The 18,068-nt window shown below is 48.4% G+C and overlaps 1 protein-coding gene across 3 annotated transcripts in view, besides 5 other annotated features; it reads left to right on the top strand.

Annotated features, from left to right (window-relative positions):
• Positions 1,175-1,675: an enhancer, noted in NCBI's record as "H3K4me1 hESC enhancer chr10:76842102-76842602 (GRCh37/hg19 assembly coordinates)". NCBI's record gives its function as "activates a minimal SCP1, AML or CMV promoter by ChIP-STARR-seq in primed H9 embryonic stem cells {active_cell/tissue: H9 hESC(primed)}" and the evidence as "EXISTENCE:reporter gene assay evidence [ECO:0000049][PMID:30033119]".
• Positions 3,503-4,063: an enhancer, noted in NCBI's record as "NANOG-H3K4me1 hESC enhancer chr10:76839714-76840274 (GRCh37/hg19 assembly coordinates)". NCBI's record gives its function as "activates a minimal SCP1, AML or CMV promoter by ChIP-STARR-seq in naive and primed H9 embryonic stem cells {active_cell/tissue: H9 hESC(naive and primed)}" and the evidence as "EXISTENCE:reporter gene assay evidence [ECO:0000049][PMID:30033119]".
• Positions 4,064-4,625: an enhancer, noted in NCBI's record as "NANOG-H3K4me1 hESC enhancer chr10:76839152-76839713 (GRCh37/hg19 assembly coordinates)". NCBI's record gives its function as "activates a minimal SCP1, AML or CMV promoter by ChIP-STARR-seq in naive and primed H9 embryonic stem cells {active_cell/tissue: H9 hESC(naive and primed)}" and the evidence as "EXISTENCE:reporter gene assay evidence [ECO:0000049][PMID:30033119]".
• Positions 7,171-7,754: an enhancer, noted in NCBI's record as "OCT4-NANOG hESC enhancer chr10:76836023-76836606 (GRCh37/hg19 assembly coordinates)". NCBI's record gives its function as "activates a minimal SCP1, AML or CMV promoter by ChIP-STARR-seq in naive H9 embryonic stem cells {active_cell/tissue: H9 hESC(naive)}" and the evidence as "EXISTENCE:reporter gene assay evidence [ECO:0000049][PMID:30033119]".
• Positions 10,377-18,068, top strand: part of DUSP29 (dual specificity phosphatase 29) — a 36,171-nt gene continuing 28,479 nt past the window's right edge. For 2 of the 3 annotated variants that reach the window (NM_001003892.3, XM_017016176.2), the window contains exon 1: positions 10,377-10,450. The gene's annotated coding sequence lies outside the window, so the exon portion shown is untranslated. Of the gene's footprint in view, positions 10,451-10,785; positions 10,918-18,068 lie in introns of all 3 variants that reach the window. The other variant, NM_001384909.1, reaches the window with a different exon arrangement.
• Positions 14,139-14,638: an enhancer, noted in NCBI's record as "H3K4me1 hESC enhancer chr10:76829139-76829638 (GRCh37/hg19 assembly coordinates)". NCBI's record gives its function as "activates a minimal SCP1, AML or CMV promoter by ChIP-STARR-seq in naive H9 embryonic stem cells {active_cell/tissue: H9 hESC(naive)}" and the evidence as "EXISTENCE:reporter gene assay evidence [ECO:0000049][PMID:30033119]".

The following is an 18,068-nucleotide window of genomic DNA, read 5'->3' as shown; positions in this document are numbered from 1 at the left end:
ATGCTAGGGGGGAAGGTAGGGAGAAACCTACCTTCTTTCTGAAGCCTGTGTAAGTCTGTCCAGACAAGAGGCCAGAAGGAGGTAAGCCCTGTATTAAGCATAATATTTTGAAAATACTGAATGGCTGTACTTTTCATTCCTCTCGCCGACAATTAGGTTGTCTAGAAGTAGGGTTGCCAGATAAAATACAGGACACCCGGTTAAATTTGAGTTTCAGATAAGCAACAGATAACTTTTTAACATAAATACGTCCCAAAGAAGCATGGGACAAACTTAATCTAAAAATTTATTTGTAGGCCGGTGCAGTGGCTCATGCCTCTAATCCCAGCACTTTGGGAGGCCAAGGCAGGAAGATCACTTGAGACTAGGAGTTCAAGACCAGCATGGGCAACAAAATGAGACCCCCATCTCTACAAAAAATAAAGAAAAAAAGTAGCCAGGTGTGGTGGTGCATGCCTGTAGTCCCAGCTACTCAGGAGGCTGAGGTGGAAGGATTGCTTGAGCCTGGGAGGTCAAGGCTGCAGTCAGCTGTGATCGTGCCATTGCATTCCAGCCTAGGTGACAGAGCAAGACCCTATCTCAAAAAACAAAACACAATAACCCATTTATTTGTAAATCTTTCAACCCTACCTGGAAGTCATTTTGTCATTATTGTCCCAGAAAAATGGGAAAGGGGGGCCACATCCAGTAGGAGGAGGCCAAGAGGAGAGGATATTCTGGTAAGAAAGGAAAAGAAAGAGGATGCTTGAAGAAGAGGGAGGTGAGGAGGGGCAGCAACAGAGGTCTATGGAGGGTGACCTCCCTTCTCTAAGACAGTGTCCCAGATGTAGGTGGGGGTGCCATATAGAACGAGGAAGACACTGAAAGAGGGGGACTTTGCTCTTTACTCAGGCTTCTGGAAGATCATTTTGCACCAACGTAAACGTGTAACAGCCAGACTCAAGGGGCCCATAGCATCAAGGCCTTCTTGCCACCTTGCTTCTTGCAATAAACCCTGATGTCATCCATAATCCATCTTGGGCAGGAGAAGGGAATTTGAAGTGCTTGAGGTGTTGTTTTTTTGTTTGTTTGTTGTTGTTGGGACAGGGTCTCACTGCTACCCAGGCTGGAGCGCAGTGGTGCATTCACTGCTCACTGCAGCTTCAACCTTCTGGGCTCAAGTGATCCTCCCACCTCAGTCTTCTGAGTAGCTGGGACTACAGGCGTGCACCACTAGAACTGGTTGGTTTTTTATTTTTGTTTTTTTGTTTTTTGTTTTTGTAGAGATGTTGCCCAGGTTGGTCTTGAACTCCTGGCCTCAAGTGATCCTCCCATCTTGGCCTCTCAAAGTGTTGGAATTACAGGCATGAACCACAGCACCCAGCCCACTTGAGCTTTTAACTGGGAAGGGACTGTGGCATTATCATTTAGCCATTTAAATGTCCTCAATTCCCAGCAGGGTGGGGCCGGTCATGTGGGGAAAGGTAGAAGAGCCAAAGAAAAATAGACACCTCACATTCTTTGCACATCCCAGTGGAAAGAATAGCAGCAACATGAGGGCAGTGCACAGTGTCTCTTGTTGGTACTTTTCACTCAGATTCTAGAGTAATTTTCAGCTCGTAATAGGCAATGGGTCACTATTTGCTGTACAGGAATGGGTAGAATGAGTGAGTTTTTGACTGGTTTCAAGCCCAACTGCAGCCACGAGGGTCTCTCAGATTCCTGGGTCATGCCCGCAGACATCCTTCCCTCCTGAAACTGGCCTCGGGGACAGTCCCAGACCTTGTGCCCAGACACCCAAGTAGTGAGTTGCTTTGCTAGCCCAACCCACCAGCATCTTGTGGGAAAAGCTACAGCAGTAGGATTAGAAAGCCTTTCTTAAAACAACAATGGTTATGTGCTAGGGCCTGTGTTAAGCACTGTGTATTATTTCATTTATTCTTGAATATACAAACCCCTCAAAGTCAAAATCGTCAGATAATCCTTTATAATCCACCATCAAAACATATCCAGAATCTGATTCACTTCTCACAACCTCTGCTGCTACCACCCTTGACGAAGGCAACCAGCAGCTCTTGCCTGGACATCCAGAATAACCTCCTCACTAGTGTCCCAGCCTCTACTTTTGTTCGTTGCATTTCATTCTCCACAAACCAGAATGTTCTTTTTCAAATGCAAATTAGATCGTGTAAACATCGCTCCCTAGAATAAATTCCAAACTCTTTACCTTGGCCTGCGGGGCCCTATGAGATCTTGGCCCTCATCTGCTAACGCTCACACCCTCTTTCACTCTATTCCAGCTGCATTGGTCTTTGAACGCATAAGGGCACAGGCCAGTTGTTGTAACAGAGACTCCAGAATACAGTGGCTTAAACAGACAGCTGCTTATTTCTCCCTCATGTCACTGTACAGAGGTAGGTGGGCAGTCTAGACTGGCAAAGTGATTCGGCTCCACAAGGTCATGCAGGGACCCAGCTTCCTTCCACCTTGTTGCTCTGCTGTCCCCGAGAATGTTGTCTTTATCTGCTGGATTGAAGCTGGGGCACAGCCACATCTATATCCCATGGCTTTCCACTGTTGCTACTTCCTGGATGCTGCAGCATTCCTTGTTTATTCCCTTAACCTTGTTCACGCTCTGTATGTAGTCCCTTCATTAATATTTTATTGTTTAAAGCAACCCTGGTGAATTCTGTTCCTTGCTGGTTCCTGACCAGTAGAGGATCCTCTGCACAATGTATCAAAGTCAACCCCTTCCTAAAACTGAACTCAGTCCAGCCTATACATTATCATCTTTTTTCTCTTCGAGATAAAGTCCCTGAAATTTAACTGGGGTGGGCTCAAGGTACCTGTCATGACTAAACTATCATGGGTTGGCTGGGTGTGGTGACACCTGTAATCACACCTGTAATCTCAGCATTTTGGGAGGCTGAGTGGGAGGATTGCTTGAGGCCAGGAGTTCAAGACCAGCCTGGGCCACAAAATGAGACCCTGTTTCAACAAAAAATGAAAACAAAACAAAACAAAACAAAACAAAAACTTAGCCAGGCATGATGGTGCACGTCAGTAGTCCCAGCTACTTGGGAGGCTAAGGCAGGAGGATTGCTTGAGCCCAGGAGTTCAAGGCTGCCATGAGCTATGTTCACAACACTGCACTTTAGCCTGGGCAACAGAGTGAGACCCTGTCTCTAAAAAACCAAACAAACAAAAAACCAAACGATCACAGACTGGCTAATGTCTGCCTCTGAACAAAAGGCCCACGGCAGTTTGGAATAACATCACTCTCTGTGCAACAAGTATTTGACTTGTTGAGTGCCCACTGGGTTCATGGATGACCAGCACATCATCATAGGATACTCCCATCCAGTGCCAAACTGGCCACTTCTGAGCAGTCTTTATGGAATCTCCCGGCTCTATGGGACAGCCCTTCCCTGTGTGCACCCCCAGCACAGCCCGCATCCACTGAGCCACCAGCATGTGCTCAGGAGTGCATTTCCCCACCAGACTGTGAGTTCACCCCAGACAGGTCCCGATTTCCTGCCTCCCTGACCTGCTGGCTGCTTCTAGAACAGGGCCTGGACACAGAGTAGGGCCTTACCTGGGTCAACTGCTGAATCCATGGGGAGATTTCAGCCCCCATTGGTCGGTTAGTTTAATCCTCTTTAGGGATTTCTTAGTCCAATCAGAGCTAAGACAATGAACCAGAGTTGAGGGAAAGCAAGAAAAAGCACAGTAGTGACTGGCACAGACTGGTTGCTTAGGACAAGCCAAGAGCTTTATATGCATTATCTTATTCAACCTGCACCATAATGCTAGAGGTGGATCCTGTTACTGTTCCTGTTATTATGCCCAACGTAAAGAGAGATGAGCTTGAAGAAGTTAAGGAATTTGCACAAGTTCAGAGGTAAGTGGGAGAGGCAGGATTTGAACCCAATTCCTTATGTTTGAAAGTACACGTCCTTCACTCCTCTGCTCTCCTGCCTCCCCCATGCAAGCAATCACCCTGTCAATCCTCACCAGTGTCACTTTGATGCACTAACAGGCCGTGAAGAGGAAACAGCCATCTATCTGTAAAATAAACAAGTCTTGGCATGCAGACAGAGGTGCTAATAGAGACACAATTGACCAATTTGCTGCGATCACTGACAAGCTTGAGCAAAGCATTCATCCCTTAGGAAATGCAGAATTTGGTGAGGACCCCTACCCATAGCCCCTGCTGTGGGTCCTAAGTGCTTCAGAGCCCCCCAGCAGAAGACTGACAGCAGCTTTCCCAGTGTTTTGACAGCCAGGGAGAGAAACAGAGGTATCGATTTCAGAGAAATATCCTTGGCCCTTAGGCCTTCTCGCCAAACACAATGTCCTCACATAGCTCAGCCATCAGAGTCAAAAGTGACAGCTTCACAGCAGACGGGGCCAGGCCAGCTGCTGGCAAACTCCTTCGAGAGTGACTGAAACCTCCAAAGGCACCCACAGCTAGACTTTAGGAACTGTGGCCAACCCAGGCAGGGCAGGAGGGAAGGTTTGTAATCAGTTGAGGAAACTTGTCCTCCTGGTGGGAGGAAGGTAGGTCAGGCCTTGGTCGGAGGATAAATGGAAGCCGCGCCACCCCATATTCCCATCACCACACTGACTTATCCCATTCTCAAAGATTTAGACCTGGGCTGTCCAGCATGGGGGCCACCAGCACTGTGGGGTTGTTAAGCACTTGAAAGATGGCTGGTCCAAATTGAAATGTGCTATAAGTATCAAATACTCACAGATTTCAAAGACACAGTATGAAATAAAAAGTGATGTCAAATATCTAATTTTTTCATATTGATTACATGTTGAAATAATATTTGGGACAGATTTTGTAAAATGTATTATTTATTTATTTATTTGTTTGTTTTTTTTTGAGACGGAGTTTGCCCAGGCTGGAGAGCAATGGTGCAATCTCTGCTCACTGCAACCTCTGCCTCCCGGGTTCAAGTGATTCTCCTGCCTCAGCCTCCCACATAGCTGGGATTACAGGCATGCGCCACCACGCCTGGCTAATTTTGTATTTTTTATAGAGACAGGATTTCTCCATGTTGGTCATGGCTGGTCTCGAACTCCTGAACTCAGGTGATCTGCCCACCTCGGCCTCCCAAAGTGCTGGGATTACAAGCGTAAGCCACCATGCTTGGCCTTGTAAAATGTATTATTAAAATTAATTTCACCTGTTTAATTTGTATTATTAAAATTAATTTCACCTGTTTAAGTTTAGGTTTTCTTTTCTTCTTCTTTTTCTTTCTTTTTTTTTTTTTTGGAGATAGAGTCTCACTATGTTGCCCAGGCTGGACTCAAACTCTGGGCTCAAGTGATCCTTCCACCTCAGCCTCCCAAGTAGCTGGGATTACAGGCACTATGTCTGGCTCTTTTTACGCTTTTGAATGTGCCTACTAAAAATTTTGAAATTGTGTACATGGCTTACATTATATTTCTATTGGACAGTGCTGCTCTGAAGGATCAAAAACAAAATGATTCATTGAATTCAAAGTGAAAAAAAATATGAACATATTCTTTATCAGAACCAAATTAGGCCGGGGATGGTGGCTCACACCTGTAATCTCAGCACTTGGGTGGACTGCTTGGGCTCAGGAGTTTGAGACCAGCCTGGGCAATATGGTGAAACCCCATCTCTACATAAAGATGCAAACAAAAATTAGCCAGGCATGGTGCTGCACAGATGTAGTCCCAGCTACTCGGGAGGCTAAGGTGGGAGAATTGCTTGAGCCCAGGTGACGGAGGTTGCAGTGAGCTGAGATTGCGCCACTGCACTCCAGCCTGAGTAACAGAGCAAGACTCTGTCTCAAGAAGAAGAAAAAAAAAGCAAATTAAATAAAAACAATAAAAACCTAAAATTATTTTCATATAATTTTCAAGCGTTCTTTTCTTTCTAAGATATTCAATGTTTCTATTAAAAATAAAAAGAAATATAATCATTGACTATCGAAGTTTTAAGACAAAATGATCTAAATGAACCTGAAAATCTTGTCATTTTTTTGAAAATTTTGTTAAATCTCATAAAATTTTGTTATAGGCTGGGTGTAGTGGCTCATGCCTGTAATCCCAGCACTTTGGGAGGCCAAGGTAGGAGGATTGCTTGAGCCCAAGAATTCAAGGCCAGCCTGGGCAACATAGGGAGACCTTATCTGTACAAAAAAATTTTAAAATTAGCTGGGCGTGGTGGTGCACGGATGTGGTCCCAGCTACTTGGGAGGCTGAGGTGGGGGGATCGATTGAACCAGGGAGGTCGAGGCTGCAGTGAGTTATGATCACACAACTGCACTCCAGCCTGGGTGATACAATGACACCCTATCTCAACAAATATAAATAAATAAATAAAATATTATAAAAATGAAACTATTTACAAGTCTAGTAGCCAATGTAAAGAACTGTCATTATGTGTTACGCTCATTACATCTAGACCTACATATATATGCTTTAAAGAACACTATGGGGCCGGGTGAAGTGGTTCACGCCTGTAATCCCAGCACTTTGGGAGGCCGAGGCAGGTGGATCACCTGAGGTCAGAAGTTCGAGACCAGCTTGGCCAATATGGTGAAACCCCGTCTCTACTAGCTGGACATGGTGGCGGGTGCTTGTAATCCCAGCTATTTGGGAGGCTGAGGCAGGAGAATCACTTGAACCCGGGAGGCAGAGGTTGCAGTGAGCCAAGATTGTGCCATTGCACTCCAGCCTGGGCAACAGGAGCAAAACTCTGTCTCAAACAAACAAACAAAAAACCACTATGAACTGTGTAATATACGAAAATATTTCTCAGCTATTGCAACTGTCAGAATACCATGCTAATTCTGGAGTGCCCCCAGAACTGTGAGGTGAAACACAGACATCAGGACGCTCAGCGCTACCAGGTCCTTTATACTATCTGAGTAGATATACTTGACAAATAGAATAAGCCCCCTTTCTTCACCGGGAAGCCCTTCCATAGCTCAAATCCTCCTAGTACTCCAAAGCAGTGTCCACCTCCAAGGTCAGTGGCAGCACAGCCCACCAACCTTCATTTAATTCATATTTAGTTACCTTTGATTTTGAGAACACAGAGCAAGAGAAAGGGAAAAGCATTCTCTGTGGCCTGTGGATGGTTTTAATTACAAAAATGGGTAGAGTTACAGTCACACTTTGCCACTGCTGAAAGCCAGATCCCAAGAGAACAAAGCACCTACATATTCTTCTTCTTTTTTTTTTTTTTGAGACGGAGTCTCGCTCTGTCTCCTAGGCTGCAGTGTAGTGGCACAATCTCGGCTCACTGCAACCTCACTGCAACTTCTGCCTCCCGGGTTCAAGCAATTCTCTTGCCTCAGCCTCCCAAATAGCTTGGATTACAAGCACCCGCCACCAAGCCACCTGGGTGAGCTTGTTGGATGAGAATGGGGGCACCCTAGGCTTAGTCTGCCTGGGAGGTTGAGACTAAGAGGGAGTTGAGCTGCTCTGCATGACAATAGGAGGACTCTCGAGCCTGTTGAGGCACTCGGCTCTAGAGAGGAGGGGAGAGATGACGAATGAAGAAAAAGGAAGGCTGTGACAATCGCATGTACAGAGAGGAGCCTCATGAACACAGCAGGACACAGAAAGTCCTTGGAGATGGGGCCTAGCCAATAATTTTCAAAGAATGGGGAGGTTAAACCTTGAATGTGGACTTGTCTCCTGCTCTGTGCTGCAATCCCTCTGCCCCACACAATCCCTTGGGTGAGTGATGGAGGAATAATAGAAGATGGTGGTGTCAAGCTCAGAATGAGGTTGTAGGAGTGATAGGCCAGAGAGTGCCAGCAAGGGTGGAGAGGCCACAGCAGAATTGACTTTGGAGAAATGAGAGCCATCCTACTATTCTTTTCCCAGGGATAAACAGTCCTCTGAGATGTTGGAGAGGGCTTTGGACTTCCTGCAGAACATAGGCCTCAGTTTCTCTTGCTTTGCTTTGCTTTTTAATGTGAAGGAAAAGAGAGCCGTCTGGGAGAGCTGCAGACTTACAGCCCTTGGATCCGGCCTCTGGGTGGGCAGGGAGGCCTCTCCCCTGGGCTGCAGCTGGACTCAGCCTCCATGCATATTCAGGTATCCACAGGGCACTAAAAGCCTCTGGATCTTCTGGACCCAGAAAAGTTTGGGTCCAGGACGGCAAACTTCATATGTTAGTTTCCCCTGTTGGCCGCTGGTTTTGAACTCTTGACATCAAGTGATCTGCCCGCCTCGGCCTCCCAAAGTGCTGGGATTACAGGTGTGAGCCACTGCGCCCAGCCAGTAACAGTTGTTTCTACAGGATTATACTTGACCTGCATGAATGGAGCTTGCTTTTTCACAGAATCCTAGGAAATCTCCTTGGAGTTGGGAACAATTGGACACATCTCTCAGTCCAACTGATGCTTACCTGGCTCGCTCCCATCTTGATGGGATGGTGTGTTTCCTTCATCTACATGAGGCAGCTCTTGGGGTGTCTCCCAAGGTCCAGGTTCTGCCCTTAGTGTTGTGCAGAGAATGTTGGTGTTTCCCCTTAGCTCCTCGAAGACAGACCAGGTATCCTCTACCACCACCACCACTCTTTTCTAAGAAAACCTTCCCAGGGCTTCCTTCAGTTCCCCATAGTAAATGATGGTTGTTTTTTTTTTAACCCTTCTCTATCCTTGTCACCCTCTTTTGGGCCTATTTTAATGTGTGAAGGATTAGAGGAGGGGCCATCAGTCTTCTGGTTAACCACATGTAGGGTCTACTTTACTGGAGGTGATAATCCAACAACCCACCAAATTCTCCTCTTGACTTCCTGTAAATTAAGTCATTGAACGTTTCCTAGATGGTGTGAAATACTCTCTCTCTCCCTCTCTCAGTCATCTAGCTAGCTCAGATGTCTTTAGATATGTTATGTTTGCTCCCTGCTGAAGCTGCATCTTCAGAGCTCCCTTTTGCTTCCTCAGCCCTTGACTGGGGCTGGGGCTGCCCCCCAGGCTTTCAGCTAAGGAGAAATCTTTCTTCTCTATCTTTGGCAATTCCAGCATCTCTGACTCCCTTAGTTCTTGGGGTAAGTGCAGAAGGGCCTTTCGACCTTGCTGTTTTGACTCCAGCACTTGACAGCAGGGACATTTGGACTCTGACATTCTGACTTCATTGTACACTCAGATTCTGTGTATTTGCCTTGGGAATTTTCCTCACACCAAGAAATCAATAAAAGCTAAGTCACTTAGCAATGAATAGTACTAGTAGAAATAATTGCTATAAATTAAACTGGCAGTAGCTAATGTAGCAAATTGTGAGGAAGATCTTTGGTTGGGTGAATAAAGTTTCAGAGGACAATATAATGACCCCAATGCAAGAAGATTGTGTTAAGTGAAAGATGTGGGAGCCTGGTGCTTCCTTCCCTACTTCTCCCAGTCCTTCACACACTAAAGCATGCCCCAGAGAGGATGACAAGGATGGATACGAATGGAGAACCACGTCATTCATTATAAGGAACTGTAGCAAGCCCTGGGAAGATTTTACTAGAAAATTAGAGGAGACTGGGCAGGATTTTGCCCGTAAGTATTAAAAAGCGGGGCTACATTGGTAGGGCTTGGTGGGAGGGATCCCAGAGCAAAGAACTCTGGAGCCATTGAGGAGGAAGGTTGACAGAAGAAAGGGCCAAGAAGAGAGACCTGGGAACGACTGTTAATGACTGTTAACGTTAAATATATATATATATATATATATATATATATTTTTTTTTTTTTTTTTTTTTTTTTTTTTTGAGACAGGGTCTTGCTTTGTCACCCAGGCTGGAGTGCAGTGGCACAATCTTGGCTCACTGGAGACTGTTAAATATTCTAATACCACCAAATTCTTTATCTCATTCAGTCCTCATAGCAATGTAAGAGGAGGATATTATGATCATTATCCCCACTGAAGCCCAGCATGGTTGGGTGCTTGCTGGGGTCTCACTGGAAGCCACACAGCACAAACTCTGCCCAGAGTTTCATTGATTACCCTGTGTGATGTGGCATCCATTCCATTGGCCTCCCAGAGATAGCTCCACAAACTCTCAGAAAAGACTGGAATAGAGAGCTGTGCCAGTGGGCAAACCTCCCCTGTTCTAGCTGTTCTGGGACAGGGCTCAGGGCAGGGCCTGTAGACACCTGGCTTCGTCCATCCCAGGAAAACAAAGTTGGAAAATTCCTGTCTGTCCCTGCCCTGGTGGCCACATGTCCTGCCTCTGTGGCTGGGCCGGGGACAAGCGTGTAGGCTTCAGGTACAGGGCTTCCTAAGTCAAGGGTTTCAGGTCGCACTGGAAAATCATTTTGCAAGCAGATGTCATAGGTCTCCTCTTAGACTGGACGGCACGCAAGGTCAGCGTCAGCAGATCTGACCCTAAAAATAGGCCTCTGTTGCCAGTGGGGGTGGCTGGGCGTGCGGCTGCTACATGCCCCACGGACCAGAACCTCCCGACGCGGCCAGGCCCCGGCACACCCAGGTAAGGCCGCTGGGTGGGGAGGCCGGCACCCCTTGGGTTCACCCACGTGTTCTTTGGGGGCCTGGGTGTGGGGATTAGAAGCCCCTTTTCCACCCTGTTCCTGGTGCTGTGGGGAATAGCCGACCTCCTTCTAGTGTGAAAGGTTTCTTGCTGTCCTTTTACGAGAGACACCATGGAATTTTCTCCATTTCCCTTTCTCCAAATCTGAACTTCCAGTTCAACGACCATTTCTAAAGGATAATGGGGTGGATTAAAGCTCATCGAGCCCTTGTGAAGCATTGGATGTATTGTATCATATTCCACATTCCAACGAGGTTCTACGTTTGTCCATTTAGCCAGTAAAGGGGGAGAAATCTCGGGGGCGAGAGAGAGAGAGGCCCTGGAGTGACTCGGATCCTGTGTAGGGCAGCATCAAAGACAAGAAAGTACTTAAAGCTCCAGGGATGAGAATTCTCCCTGTGTCCCAGGTAACACAAAAGCGTCATTTGGACAGAGTGGCGGGTTTGGGAGCATTTCTCAGTCCTGGTGGGAGGATGGGGTTGGGGATGACGCTGCCGTGGTAGAGATGGGGGGTGGGACTGGGTCATGAAGGATCAGAGCCACTGGACCAAGAGTGTAGGCTGTACCGCGTGTGGGCAGGAGGCGGGATGGGCCTGTGTCTCAGACCTGTGTGGGCAGGAAGTGGGACGGGCCTGCGTCTCAGACCAGGGCTCTCCCATTAGACCCTGGTGCCCTTGTGCTGTGACCCCAGGGGTCCCTTCATGGGCCTGGAACCCAAGAACAGTTGGGCCCGGGGGCTCTGATCGTTCGGGAAAGCGGAAAATGCTCCAGCGAACAGGAGGAAGGGCACGAGGAGGATGTCTGGAGAGGTTGCCACACTCACGGCCGCCAGCACCTGAGGGTCCCTGGCCCTGGATGTTTTTTCCGCTGCCCCCACCTTTAGCTTGTGATCCCTCCTTGTTCTCATCATGAGAATATCATTTGGTCCCACCGACAAATCCGAGGACTCTGACATTAATAAACAACACTTGAAGGGCTTCTGAGCTGAGTTCTTAACAAGGAAGGCGCGTTGGGCATGGAGGCTGGGGTGGACATGGGGTGGGTCTGAGGAGAGTTAGTGGGAGTGAAACAGGAAAGGTTCCTTTGTCCCTCTCACAGGGCATGCGACGGGGGTGTGGCTCGCTTGTTCAGTACCCAGCTGCTCAGACCTCTAGAGGAGCATACAGACGGGCAGGCTGTGGGGCTCTGACCCCATGGCAGTGTCTAGGGGTGAATGTTTACAGCTGAAGCCCCAGTGGGTGTGTGTTACAGGGTGCTCTTTTAGTTTGCTGTCTATAGGCGGCTTGTGTTAACTGGCTCAATTAGACCTCCTTCCTTATCACAAGGACAGAGGGATTTCTGTATCCTGGGGTTTCTTGCCTTGGTGTAGGGGAAGAATCAGATCACATGTGGGCTTGGAGAAGAGTGCAAGGTTTTATTGAGTAGAAGTAGCTCTCAGCAGATGGGGGAGCCAGAAGGGAGACAGTTTTTCCCTGGAGTTGGGCCACTCAGCAGCCGACTCTTCTCCTCCAACCGCTCTGGCCAAACTCCGCATCATTCCGCTTGTCAATGGCCTGCAGGCCTGCCAGTGCCTGTCGGCGTGATCTTCTGCCGGCGCGCTTTTGACAACCAGCCGCTTGTGTCTTCTGCCTATGTGTTCCTCAGTACGTCCAGCCGGTTGTGTGTCTCAGGTTTTTATAGGCACAGGATTGGGGTGTGGCGGGCCAGGGTGGTCTTGGAAAATATAACATTTGGGTGCGAAGGCAGGAGTGCCTGTCCTCACCTGGGTCTGTGGAGGTGGAGCCCTGGCCAGGGACCTGCCTTTCTCTACCCAGCACTTCCTGGCCCTCCTCCGGTATCAGGATCTCACTTGGCTCTGAAGGATCTTCATGGGCAAAGGCAGATCTGCGCTGAGGGTGAGGAGAGAGCCAGTGGTCCTCTGCCATCAGACAAACTGGAGCCCTTACTGGGGACATTTCAGTCATGGCTGACACCTGGGTTGGGTGGGAACCTGGTCCTGTCTGCGGGTGGCACTCCCGTGGCTGTTGTTGACCCCACAGTAGATGAGGGGCTTAGGGGAGGCCCTGAGGCCAGGGGCTGGGCTGTGAGCATCTTCCAGCAGCCCCAGGGAGGCCCAGTTGAGTCCACCAGGGTGGGGGTGAGCAGCCTCCACCAAGCCTTCCCCAGACACTGCGGCCCCGAGGCCTGGCGGTGTTTCCTGTGCTATGTGTCTGGCACTGTTCCAAGAGCTTTCCTGACAAGCAGGAATCATTTATTCCTCAGAATTGCAGCAGCTTAATGAGGGATGGACAGCACAGCCCCATTTCAGATTGGACACGGAGACACAAATACTAAGTGTTCTGCCCAAGGTCATGCAGCCTAAACAGGGGCAGAGGCCAGAACCCAGCGTGCCTCAGAGTTTCGGGGTGTAGCCCCTTTGCTCTGGTGCCTCTCATTGGGGTAGAGGCCTGGTGGCATCTCACTCTCCTACTCCTCTCAACCCCTAAACTCCAACCAGGGCCCCTGTCTCAGGGAGGCCCGGCCTGGAAACAGCCACTCCAGGTTCCTGGGCCAGGAGTTAGCTGTTTGTCCTCTTCGGCCTGATTTCAGAGCAGATGGTGTTTTAATCTCCTCTTCTGGTGACCATTCACGTTTCTGGGCCTACCCGTTCCACAGTAACGAGGGGGTCAGATCTCCTAGCAGCCTGACACAGCGACCAGAGGCTGACTAGCTGGGGAGAGTCCTTTCTCCTACTCTCTTGCATGTCACGCAGGAGGCGATGGGTCCTGTCACCCACAGGACAATGCTCAGGCTCACATGAGTCCATCTCCTCCGCCACAGCTTCCCTACCAAGACCTCCGCCCCGGCCAAACTGCTCCACCCACTCTTTCCTATTCTCGGTTGGGAACACAACTCCCAGTACAGCTGGGAATTCCCCACCCACCCTCCAGGCCGCCTCCTTGTCTCTGCTCCCTGAAACCCTCTTTGAGCTCATGCGGATGTGCCAAGGGCTTACATTATCTCATTTAATTCAGCAACCAGTGAGGTGCAAGTTATCCCCATTTGACAGATGAGGAAGCCGAAGCCCAGGTAGTGAGATTCCAAGGCCCATAAGAGCTGCTTGCTGCAAATTTACATGACTGTGTGCTCCACTCTAGGGAGGGAAGCATACAGAATTGAGAGGCCCAGGCATGCCCTCAGGAGCTTATACTTTGTGACCAAGAATATAGTGAAGTATCTATTGTGGTGGGTTGGGATGTGGGGCTGTTGGGTTGAGTCCTATTTGCACCCTTTACTAGCTTGGTGTGTTGTTTCTTAACCTCCCTGACCCTCATTTTTTCATCTGTAAAGTGGAGGCAGTTATTCCCTATCTAGAACGTTTCTTTCTTTTCCTTCCTTCCTTCCTTCCTTCCTTCCTTCCTTCCTTCCTTCCTTCCTTCCTTCCTTCCTTCCTTCCTTTCTTCTTTCTTTCTTTTTTTTTTGACAAGGTCTCACTCTGTCACCCAGGCTGGAGTGCAGTGGCATGATCTTGGCTCACAGCAACCTCCACCTCCTGGGTTCAAGTGATTCTCATACCTCAGCCTCCCTAGTAGCTGGGATTACAGGCACACACCACCACGCCCAGCTCATTTTTTTTTTTTTGTATTTTTAGTAGAGACAGGGTTTCACCATGTTGGCCAGACTGGTCTCAAACTCCTCACCTCAAGGGATCCGCCTGCCTTGGCCTCCCACAATGCTGGGATTACAGGTGTGAACCACCGTGCCCAGCCACTATCTACAAGGTTTTGAGAGTAGATAATCACTGGGCACACAATAAAAGCAACACAATCATTTCCCTGGGTCCAGCCAAGGCCTTGATTTCTCTGCGAGCTTTTGTGGGTGGCAGATTTAAGAGGTGGCAGCCTTAGCCCCTCGCCTTCCCAAGGCCCAGAGCGTCCTCTGTGTAGCATCTGAGACAGGACCAGTGACGAATAAGTGGCCTGGACAGGAAGTGGTGGAGCGGCAGGACCATGGTGAGGGCTGCACCTGCGGAGTCTTGCCCTTCCCCGAACAAGGAAGGCTTGTTCTGAGGTGAGGCCCAGTGGGAAATGGTTCCTGTGAAACCGCCTGTGGTGTTTCCACACATCTTCAGAGGGAGTGAAGGCCCAGCTGCTTAGGATTCAGGAACCACAACGGGCCTGGTCAGACATCATGGTCTGGGTCTCCAGTGCCACAGCTCCCTCTCCCCTGGCCGCTCGAGAAAGTCCATCCCGGCCGGCTCCCTTGTCTGAGAAGGAAGCTGAGTGTGGCCTCCAGCCTCCTCAGGGCTTCCGGGAGGCCCTCCTCTGCCAAACCAAGATTGGGGAAATCAATTAGAAGTTCATAAATTACAACCCCAAGCGCTTTGAAACCATTTGAAGAGTTAATCAAACAAGTTCATGACATCAACACCATCAGAGAAGGAATATTAAATTACTTTTAAAATGAAGGCTCTTCTGTATTTTTTAATAAAAGGATTTTATATTAATTCACATAATTGCCTCCTGTTAACATACTTGCCAGAATCCAAAAGAAAAAAAAAAATCTGTTAAACTTGGAATATGTCTGATACATTAGGAATTAAATTATAGGCCACAAAAAATTCCTGAGTTTTTACGTCCAAGTTTTCTTTTTAAAAAAAATCCACTTACTTCATTCCCTAGTTGGGATCATTTTTGTATATCTAAAATGCGTAAAGACAAGCACTAACTTGTACTAAGTTAAAAATATGTACATATTTACATATGGACACTGCTGCCAAATTCCGCCCCTCCCCACGTACCCTAGCAGTAGGTATTACTCTCCTAATAGAGTAATTCACCCAACCACAATAACATTTTTACTCTCCCCCTTCTTTCCAAGCATATCCAAGCCCAACTTGGGTGGTGTCATGGAAGAAACGTGGTACACAGGCACTTAAACACAGACCAGCTTTCCCCATGAGCGCCATGCTTTAGAAACATGAAAATGCAATGGATCTACACACAGGCACAGATACAGAATGCCTTCGAAGGGAGAGGAGGATTTTTCATATTTAGAAGGTTCTCACTCTGTCATCCAGGCTGGAGTGCAGTGGCATGATCATAGCTCGCTGCAGCCTCAAACTCCTGGGCTCAAGCAATCCTCCCACCTCAGCCTCCCAAGTAGCTGGGACCACAGGTGCATGCACCTCCATGGTCAGCTATTTTTTTCTCTATCTTTTGTAGAAATGGGAGTCTCATCATGTTGCCCAGGCTGGTCTTGAACTGCTGGACTCAAGCAATCCTCCCGCCTCAGCCTCTTAAAGCTCTGGGATTACAGGCCTGAGCCACTGCACCCAGCCTTTACTGTATTTTAAAATGCTAAGGTGGTAACTTTTCTGTTATATGTATATAATTTTTAAAAATTTTCTTGCAGAAGGCTAGGTGCAGTGGCTCATGCCTATAATCCCAGCACTTTGGGAAGCTGATGGGGGTGGATCATTTGAGGTCAGGAGTTCAAGACCAGCCTAGCCAACATGGTGAAACCCCATCTCTACTAAAAATACAAAAATTAGCTGGGCGGGATGGTGAGCGCCTGTAATCCCAGCTACCCTGGAGGCTGAGGCAGGAGAATCGCTTGAATCTGGGAGGCGGAGGTTGCAGTGAGCCTGGATTGCACCATTTTACTCCAGCCTGGGCGACAGAGTGAGACTCTGTTTCAAAATAAAATAAAATAAAATAAAATATTTTCTTATAGAGACAGGGTCTCATAATGTTGCCCAGGCTAGTCTTGACCTCTAGGGAGAGGAGAATTTTTTAAATGTTTACACTATAAATTGTTCTACTCAGCTAAAAACCTCTAGAAGGCAGAGACCTCCCTGGCTTAGCTCAGCACACCCCTTTCCGATCCCCTCCCATGCTGGCCTGGCCCAGCCCAACCCTACACAGGGGCATACACGGTAAAGCTTTGGAGTCAGGGCCAGGCCTAACTTCTGAGGGGAAGTCAAGGAGGGAACGATGCCACTCCTCATTCCTTCTCGTGACCCGCCAGAGCACCCCCATGTCAGCTGAGTTAGACTAAGACCAAGCTAAGCAGAATCAATGATGCTGGCTCTGACACTGTAAGGGATGGGGTGGGGAGGGGGGCTGCCCTCTTCATCTGAAGTCAGAGGGGAAGGAAGATCCCCCCTACTCCGAGGTGGATTTACCCCAAGCTTCAGAACCCTGCACTTGCACCAGCCGCTTCCAAGGCCCTATACCTGTTTGGTTTTCTTTTACTTAAAGAAATTCAGGCCGGGTGCAGTGGCTCACGCCTGTAATCCCAGCACTCTGGAAGGCCGAGACAGGAGGATTGCTTGAGATCAGGAGTCCGAGACCAGCCTGGTCAACATGATGAAACCCCATCTCTACTAAAAATACAAAAATTAGCCAGGTGTGGTGGCACACACCTGTAGTCGTGTCTGCTTGGGAGAGGCTGAGGCAGGAGAATTGCTTGAACCCAAGAGGCAGAGGTTGCAGTGAGCTGAGATTGCACCACTGCACTCCAGCCTGAGCGACAGAGTAAGACTCTGTCTCAAAGAAAAAAAAAAAAAGAAAAAGAAAAAAAAGAAAAAAGAAATTGAATAAGCTTCAAGATCCACAAAACCTAGATTCCTCCTGCTTTCTCAGGAGGCACAGGCGGCTAGGATGACCTTCTGACACCACGGAGGCCTGACTGCTGCCATGGGCAGCCTCGGGGAGGACACAGAGCTGCCTTCGGGGGGCTCCCACTTGACAGGAGGCACTCGGTGCCACTGGAGAGATGTAAGGAGCAGGGTCAGACCTTGTCCTGAGGGCCACCTTCCTGCCTCGGCCCGGGGGTTTTGGGTGAGCTTCTACTCCGTGCAGAACACTTCTAAAATAGAACTTTCATGGAATTTTGTTTTTTTCCCTCCATATGCTCAAGTAAAACATGTCTAGCACAGAAAATTTAGAAAAGATGGTTACTTTAAAAAAAGAAAACAAAAATCACATATAATTTCGTCACCCTAAAACGAGCATGTAGCCAGTGTTAATATTTTGGGGAAATTTATTTTTGTACAAGAAGGGGATGGTTCTGTATCTGCTGCTTCACAAACTTCTGCTTTCTCTCTCTGCCAGCGCCAGCCTCTTTCCCTTTGATTTCTTGGAGTCACCGAGAACATGGCTGTTGTGTGTAACAATTCTGTTGAAGGGTTAGGGTCCCAATGAGAGGGCTGCCACAGCTATGGGGCACTGCCAAGTTGAAGGTTGGGAACCCCCGTTCTCAGTAATCTCGTGGCTATTCCTCCCCCAGAAACTCCTCACTTGGTGGTCTCTGGCCCCAGTTGGTCCTTTCCTCAGTCCTGCCGCAGGGCCCCCTCATACTCCTTCTAGAATGTTCTAGGAAACTCAAAAGTCTCTTGCTTTATTGTACAGAACAATTTAGTTCTCTTTGTTTCACTCCACCTCTTTCTGGGCCATGCCACAGAACTCATGTTTTTCCCATCAAAGGGACCCTCAAATAGGCCAAAGTGGCTCACACCCGTAATCTCAGTGCTTCAGGAGGCTGAAATGGGAGGATCACTTGAAGCCAGAAGTTG

This window comes from Homo sapiens, chromosome 10, assembly GCF_000001405.40.
Source record: "Homo sapiens chromosome 10, GRCh38.p14 Primary Assembly".
NCBI classification, from domain to species: domain Eukaryota; kingdom Metazoa; phylum Chordata; class Mammalia; order Primates; family Hominidae; genus Homo; species Homo sapiens.
The sequence above is the reverse complement of the archived record's forward strand: the minus strand, read 5'-3'. Positions and strand labels throughout refer to the sequence as shown.